The sequence below is a fragment of the Homo sapiens genome, chromosome 2 (assembly GCF_000001405.40).
Source record: "Homo sapiens chromosome 2, GRCh38.p14 Primary Assembly".
NCBI lineage: Eukaryota > Metazoa > Chordata > Mammalia > Primates > Hominidae > Homo > Homo sapiens.
This window is the reverse complement of record NC_000002.12, coordinates 201,611,894-201,620,098: the sequence shown is the minus strand read 5'-3', so window position 1 is coordinate 201,620,098 and position 8,205 is coordinate 201,611,894. Positions and strand designations below refer to the sequence as shown.

Here is an 8,205-nt window from a genome sequence, read left to right as displayed (position 1 = left end):
GTCATGGGGGTGTACAGATTATTTCATCACCCAGGTAATAAGCCTAGTGCCCAAAAGGTAGTTTTTGATCCTCTCCCGCCTCCCACCCTTCGCCGTCAAGTAGGCCCCAGTGTCTGTTGCTCCCCTCTTTGTGTCCATGTGTTCTCATTGTTTAGCTCGCATTTATAAGTGAGAACGTGGTATTTGGTTTTCTGTTCCTGTGTTAGTCTGCTTAGGATAATGGCCTTCAGCTCCATTCGTTACTGCAAAGGACTAATACGGGGGCAGTGAAAGGGATGGATGACAGCAGGTTGGCAGACCCATGAGTAAATCATTGCAATTGTCTCGTGTGTGTGTTGTCCCAAATTAGGTGCCATAAAGGGAAAAGGTAAGTAAGATTCAGATATTTAGGGTCAGAATTTTAAAATGTGTCTGAATGTTTAAGATTTTGTGGATATGACATTGCTGCACCAAATGAGTTTGGAACCTACTAGAGGTTTAAGAGGGAAGATGAATATTAACGTGTTATGTGTCTGTGGAACAATTGGGTAAAGATGTCAAAGTAGACTGTTGGATATTTAACGTCTGGAGCTCACGGGACAGTGTAGAGGAAGTAATGACTGACACTGTAAATCTTCTAGAAAGAAATGGTGCAGGGAGAAAAGGACTCGTGAGGGCTACAGGGCGGACAAGACAGTGAACTAAAGTGGTTGGGCCCCATGAGGGGCCTTGCTCTCCACCAGCGTGCTCTGATTTCCTTCTAAAGGAGACTGAAATGGCCTGGCAAGTGCTTGCAGCAGACCCTCCAGGCTCGCTAAGCACGCATGCTTCCAAAGCTGCCTCCAGCCACTCCCAGCATGGGCCCGGCCTGAGTGGGTCACTAGGCGGCACGCACGCGCTGGGAAAATGTGAGAAAGGCTGCGGGAGGGCCGCGCCTGCGCAGTAGCGGGCCGTCGGTTGGGCGCAGACAGGCCGCAGAAGATGGAGAGATGGAGCCACCCCAAGAGACAAATAGGCCTTTCAGCACACTTGATAACCGCAGCGGGCAGGTCCAAGTCCTGTCCGCCACCCCGCTATTGCAGAGGAATCCCTACAGCAGCCCGGATATCATGCACATTAAAGGGTCGGAGGCTTCTTCGGTCCCTTACGCCCTGAACCAGGGCACGACGGCCCTGCCTAAGAACAAGAACCAGGAGGGCACCGGGCACCGGCTGCTGAACGTGAGTGAGCGGGGGCCTGGCCGGCACCTGGAGGACCGGGGCCAGCAGGGCACCTGGAGGGTGGTGAAAGGATTAAAGGGTTCAATGTGTGCCAATTGCATCTCCCTTCAATTGGCACACATTGAACCCTTTAATCCTTTTTTTTTTCGTTTATAGCAATTCCTTTTTTTTATTTTTATTTTTTATTTTTTATTATACTTTAAGTTCTAGGGTACATGTGCACAACGTGCAGGTTTGTTACATAGGTATACATGTGCCATGTTGGTGTGCTGCACCCATTAACTCGTCATTTACATTAGGTATATCTCCTAATGCTATCCCTCCTCCCTCCCCCCAACCCACGACAGGCCGTGGTGTGTGATGTTCCCCCCCCGTGTCCAAGTATTCTCATTGTTCAATTCCCACCTATGAGTGAGAACATGCAGTGTTTGGTTTTCTGTCCTTGCGATAGTTTGCTGAGAATGATGGTTTCCAGCTTCATCCATGACCCCACAAAGGACATGAACTCATCCTTTTTATATGGCTGCATAGTATTCCATGGTGTATATGTGCCACATTTTCTTAATCCAGTCTGTCATTGATGGACATTTGGGTTGGTTCCTAGTCTTTGCCATTGTGAATAGTGCCATAATAAACATATGTGTGCACGTGACTTTATAGCAGCATGATTTATAATCCTTTGGGTATATGCCCAGTAATGGGATGGCTGGGTCAAATGGTATTTCTAGTTCTAGACCCTTGAGGAATCGCCACACTGTCTTCCACAATGGTTGAACTAGTTTACACTCCCACCAACAGTGTAAAAGCGTTCCTATTTCTCCACATCCTCTCCAGCACCTGTTGTTTCCTGACTTTTTAATGATTGCCATTCTAACTGGTGTGAGATGGTATCTCATTGTGGTTTTGATTTGCATTTCTCTGATGGCCAGTGATGATGAGCATTTTTTCATGTGTCTGTTGGCTGCATAAATGTCTTCTTTTGAGAAGTGTCTGTTCATATACTTTGCCCACTTTTTGATGGGGTTGTTTGTTTTTTTCTTGTAAATTTGTTTCAGTTCTTTGTAGATTCTGGATATTAGCCCTTTGTCAGATGGATAGATTGCAAAAATTTTCTCCCATTCTGTAGGCTGCCTGTTCACTCTGATGCTAGTTTCTTTTGCTGTGCAGAAGCTCTTTAGTTTAACTAGATCCCATTTGTCGATTTTGGCTTTGGTTGCCATTGCTTTTGGTGTTTTAGTCATGAAGTCCTTGGCCATGCCTATATCCTGAATGGTATTGGCTAGGTTTTCTTCTAGGGTTTTTATGGTTTTAGGTCTAACATTTAAGTCTTTAATCCATCTTGAATTAATTTTTGTATAAGGCGTAAGGAAGGGATCCAGTTTCAGCTTTCTACGTATGGCGAGCCAGTTTTCCCAACACCATTTATTAAATAGAGAATCCTTTCCCCATTTCTTGTTTATGTCAGGTTTGTCAAAGATCGGATGGTTGTAGATGTGTGGTATTATTTCCGGGGGCTCTATTCTGTTCCATTGGTCTATATCTCTGTTTTGGTACCAGTACCATGATGTTTTGGTTACTGTAGCCTTGTAGTATAGTTCGAAGTCAGAAAGCATGATGCCTCCAGCTTTGTTCTTTTGGCTTAGGATTGTCTTGGCAATGTGGGCTCTTTTTTGGTTCCATATGAACTTTAAAGTATTTTTTCCAATTCTGTGAAGAAAGTCATTGGTAGCTTGATGGGGATGGCATTGAATCTATAAATTACCTTGGGCAGTATGGTCATTTTCACAATATTGAGTCTTCCTATCCATGAGCATGTAATGTTTTTCCATTTGTTTGTGTCCTCTTTTATTTCATTGAGCAGTGGTTTGTAGTTCTCCTTGAAGAGAACCTTCACATCCCTTGTAAGTTGGATTCCTAGGTATTTTATTCTCTTTGAAGCAATTGTGAATGGGAGTTCCCTCATGATTTGGCTCTCTGTTTGTCTGTTATTGGTGTATAGGAATGCTTGTGATTTTTGCACATTGATTTTGTATCCTAAGACTTTGCTGAAGTTGCTTATCAGCTTAAGGAGATTTTGGGCTGAGGCGATGGAGTTTTCTGAATATACAAACATGTCATCTGCAAACAGGGACAATTTGACTTCCTCTTTTCCTAATTGAATACCCTTTATTTCTTTCCCTTGCCTGACTGCCCTGGCCAGAAATTCCAACACCATGTTGAATAGGAGTGGTGAGAGAGGGCATCCCTGTCTTGTGCCAGTTTTCAAAGGGAATGCTTCCAGTTTTTGCCCATTCAGTATGATATTGGCTATGGGTTTGTCATAAATAGCTCTTATTATTTTGAGATACGTCCCATCAATACGTAGTTTATTGAGAGTTTTTAGCATGAAGGGCTGTTGAATTTTGTCAAAGGCCTTTTCTGCATCTATTGAGATAATCATGTGGTTTTTGTCTTTGGTTCTGTTTATATGCTGGATTATGTTTATTGATTTGCATATGTTGGACCAGCCTTGCATCCCAGGGATGAAGCCCACTTGATCATGGTGGATAAGCTTTTTGATGTGCTGCTGGATTCGGTTTGCCAGTGTTTCATTGAGGATTTTTGCATCGATGTTCATCAGGGATATTGGTCTAAAATTCTCTGTTTTTGTTGTGTCTCTGCCAGGCTTTGGTATCAGAATGATGTTGGCCTCATAAAATAAATTTGGGATGATTCCCTGTTTTTCTATTGATTGGAATAGTTTCAGAAGGAATGGTACCACCTCCTCTTTGTACCTCTGGTAGAATTTGGCTGTGAATCCGTCTGGTCCTGGAGTTTTTTTGGTTGGTAGGCTAGTAATTATTGTCTCAATTTCAGAACCTGTTATTGGTCTATTCAGGGATTCAACTTCTTCCTGGTTTAGTCTTGGGAGGGTGTATGTGTCCAGGAATTTATCCATTTCTTCTAGATTTTCTACTTTATTTGCATAGAGGTGTTTATAGTATTCTCTGATGGTAGTTTGTATTTCTGTGGGATCGGTGGTGATATCCCCTTTATCATTTTTTACTGTGTCTATTTGATTCTTCTCTCTTTTCTTCTTTCTTAGTCTTGCTAGTGATCTATCAATTTTGTTGATCTTTTCAGAAAACCAGCTCCTGGATTCATTGATTTTTTGAAGGTTTTTTTGTGTCTCTATCTCCTTCCGTTCTGCTCTGATCTTAGTTATTTCTTGCCTTCTGCTAGCTTTTGAAAGCATTTGCTCTTGCTTCTCTAGTTCTTTTAATTATGATGTTAGGGTGTCAATTTTAGTTCTTTCCTGCTTTCTCTTGTGGGCATTTAGTGCTATAAATTTCCTTCTACACGCTGCTTTAAATGTGTCCCAGAGATTCTGGTATGTTGTGTCTTTGCTCTCATTGGTTTCAAAGAACATCTTTATTTCTGCCTTCATTTCGTTATGTACCCAGTAGTCATTCAGGAAGAGGTTGTTCAGTTTCCATGTAGTTGAGCAGTTTTGAGAGAGTTTCTTAATCCTGAGTTGTAGTTTGATTATGCTGTGGTCTGAGAGACAGTCTGTTATAATTTCTGTTCTTTTACATTTGCTGAGGAGTGCTTTACTTCCAACTATGTGGTCAATTTTGGAATAAGTGTGATGTGGTGCTGAGAAGAATGTATATTCTGTTGATTTGGGGTGGAGAGTTCTGTAGATGTCTATTAGGTCTGCTTGGTGCAGAGCTGAGTTCAATTCCTGGATATCCTTGTTAACTTTCTGTCTCATTGATCTGTCTAATGTTGACAGTGGTGTGTTAAAGGCTCCCATTATTATTGTGTGGGAGTCTAAGTCTCTTTGTAGGTCTCTAAGGACTTGCTTTATGAATCTGGGTGCTCCTATATTGGGTGCATACATATTTAGGATAGCTCTTCTTGTTGAATTGATCCCTTTACCATTATGTAATGTCCTTCTTTGTCTCTTTTGATCTTTGTTGGTTTGAAGTCTGTTTTATCAGAGACTAGCATTGCAACCCCTGCTTTTTCTTGTTTTCCATTGGCTTGGTAGATCCTCCTCTATCCCTTTATTTTGAGCCTGTGTGTATCTCTGTACGTGAGATAGGTCTCCTAAATACAGCACACTGATGGGTCTTGACTCTTTATCCAATTTGCCAGTCTGTGTCTTTTAATTGGACCATTTAGCCCATTTACATTTAAGGTTAATATTGTTATGTGTGAATTTGATCCTGTCATTATGATGTTAGCTGGTTATTTTGCTGGTTAGTTGATGTAGTTTCTTCCTAGCATCAATGGTCTTTACAATTTGGCATGTTTTTGCAGTGGCTGGTACCGATTGTTCCTTTCCACGTTTAGTGCTTCATTCAGGAGCTCTTCTAATGCAGGCCTGGTGGTGACAAAATCTCTCAGCATTTGTTTGTCTGTAAAGGATTTTATTTCTCCTTCACTTATGAAGTTTAGTTTGGCTGGATATGAAATTCTGGGTTGAAAATTCTTTTCTTTAAAAATGTTGAATATTGGCCCCCACTCTCTTCTGGCTTGTAGAGTTTCTGCCAAGAGATCTGCTGTTAGTCTGATGGGCTTCCCTTTGTGGGTAACCCGACCTTTCTCTCTGGCTGTCCTTAACATTTTTTCCTACTTTTCAACTTTGGTGAATCTGACAATTATGTATCTTGGAGTTCCTCTTCTCGAGGAGTATCTTTGTGGCATTCTCTGTATTTCCTGAATTTGAATGTTGGCCTGCCTCGCTAGGTTGGGGAAGTTCTCCTGGATAATATCCTGAAGAGTGTTTTCCAACTTGATTCCATTCTCTCTGTCACTTTCAGGTACACCAATCAGAGATAGATTTGGTCTTTTCACGTAGTCCCATATTTCTTGGAGGCTTTGTTCATTTCTTTTTATTCTTTTTTCTATCAACTTCTCTTCTCACTTCATTTCATTCATTTGATCTTCAATCACTGATACCCTTTCTTCCACTTGATCAAATCGGCTACTGAAGCTTGTGCATGCGTCACATAGTTCTCGTGCCATGGTTTTCAGCTCCATCAGGTCATTTAAGGACTTCTCTACAGTGTTTATTCTAATTAGCCATTCATCTGATCTTTTTTCAAGGTTTTTAGCTTCTTTACAATGGGTTCGAACATCCTCCTTTAGCTCGGAGAAGTTTGTTATTACTGATAATCTGAAGCCTTCTTCTCTCAACTCGTCAAATTCATTCTCTGTCCAGCTTTGTTCCCTTGCTGGCGAGGAGCTGTGTTCCTTTGTAGGAGAAACGGCACTCTGATTTTTAGAATTTTCAGCTTTTCTGCTGTGGTTTCTCCCCATCTTTGTGGTTTTATCTACCTTTGGTCTTTGATGATGGTGATGTACAGATGAGATTTTGGTGTGGATGTCCTTTCTGTTTGTTAGTTTTCCTTCTAACAGTCAGGACCGTCAGCTGCAGGTCTGTTGGAGTTTGCTGGAGGTCCACTCTGACCCTGTTTGCCTGGGTATCACCAGTGGAGGCTGCAGAACAGCAAATATTGCAGAACAGCAAATGTTACTGTCTGATCCTTCTTCTGGAAGCGTTGTCTCAGAGGGGCACCCAGTTGTATGAGGTGTCAATTGGCCCCTACTGGGAGGTGTCTCCCAGTTAGGCTACTCGGGGGTCAGGGACCCACTTGAGGAGGCAGTCTGTCCATTCTCAGATCTCAAACTCCGTGCTAGGAGAAGCACTGCTCTCTTCAAAGCTGTCAGACAGGGATGTTTAAGTCTGTAGAAGTTTCTGCTGCCTTTTGTTCAGCTATGCCCTGCCCCCCAGAGGTGGAGTCTACAGAGGCAGGCAGGCCTCCTTGAGCTGAGGTGGGCTCCACCCAGTTTGAGCTTCCCAGCTGCTTTGTTTACCTACTCAAGCCTCAGCAATGGAGGATGCCCCTCCCCCAGCCTTGCTGCTGCCTTGCAGTTGGATCTCAGACTGCTGTGCTAGCAGGGAGCAAAGCTCCGTGGGCGTGGGACCTTCCAAGCCAGGCATGGGATATAATGTCCTGGTGTGCCGTTTGCTAAGGCCATTGGAAAAGTGCAGTATTAGGGTGGGAGTGTCCCGATTTTCCAGGTGCCGTCTGTCACAGCTTCCCTTTGCTAGGAAAGGGAATTCCCCAACCCTCTGTGCTTCCTGGGTGAGGCGATGCCCCACCCTGCTCCGTGGGCTGCACCCACTGTCTGACAAGCCCCAGTGAGATGAACCCAGTACCTCAGTTGGAAATGCAGGAATCACCTGTCTTCTGTGTCACTCACACTGGGAACTGCAGACGGGAGCTGCTCCTATTTGGCTATCTTGGCTTTTTTTTTTTTTTTTTTCCAAGATGGAGTCTCATTCTGTCGCCCTCCCCCAGGCTAGAGTGCAGTGGCATGATCTCAGCTCACAGCAACCTCCGCCTCCCGGGTTCAAGTGATTCTCCTGCCTCAACCTCCTGAGTAGCTGGGATTACAGGCACCCACCACCAGGCCAGGTGAATTTTTGTATTTTTAGTAGAGATGGGGTTTTGCCATGTTGATCATGCTGGACTTGAACTCCTGACCTCAGGTGATCCACCCACCTGGCCTCCCAAGGTGCTGGGATTACAGGTGTGAGCCACCGTGCCCGGCCCCCTTTAATCCTTTTGAAACCCTCTAAATTAGAGGGTGGTAATACCTGAGAAAGAGTTGACCTGTGGGACCTTGGGCAATTATTTAACTTGTTAGAGTCTCGTTTTATTCACTGTTCAATGAAGACAATTACTACCTGCCTTACTTAAAGGAGAGCAAAAGGAAATAATGATATAAAGTGCTTAGCACAGTACAAAGAACAAAGTACAGAGTCAAAAGTTAGCTGCTGTCACCATCATCATCATTACTGGGATTTTATTTATTTGGTTACAGGGCCAAACTTCAGAAACTTTAGTTACCCCTGTTTTCATTCCTGAGGTTATTACAGAGTGAATCTGCAGAAGCAAATCTGCATCCTGTCTGCAAAGTGAATTATTGGCCTCCTGAAACTCTTGAGTTT

The 8,205-nt window shown here is 43.3% G+C and overlaps 1 protein-coding gene across 19 annotated transcripts in view; it reads left to right on the top strand.

Moving 5' to 3' along the window:
* The window catches only part of CATSPERT (catsper channel auxiliary subunit tau), a 131,758-nt gene continuing 124,473 nt past the window's right edge, over positions 921–8,205 (top strand). For all 19 annotated transcript variants that reach the window (XR_007069662.1, XM_047443510.1, XM_047443509.1 and 16 more), the window contains exon 1: positions 921–1,199. Coding sequence is in view for 18 of the 19 variants with exons in the window: in XM_047443510.1 (XP_047299466.1) it covers positions 969–1,199 (231 nt within the window). In the remaining variant the exon portion in view is untranslated. The remainder of the gene's footprint in view (positions 1,200–8,205) is intronic.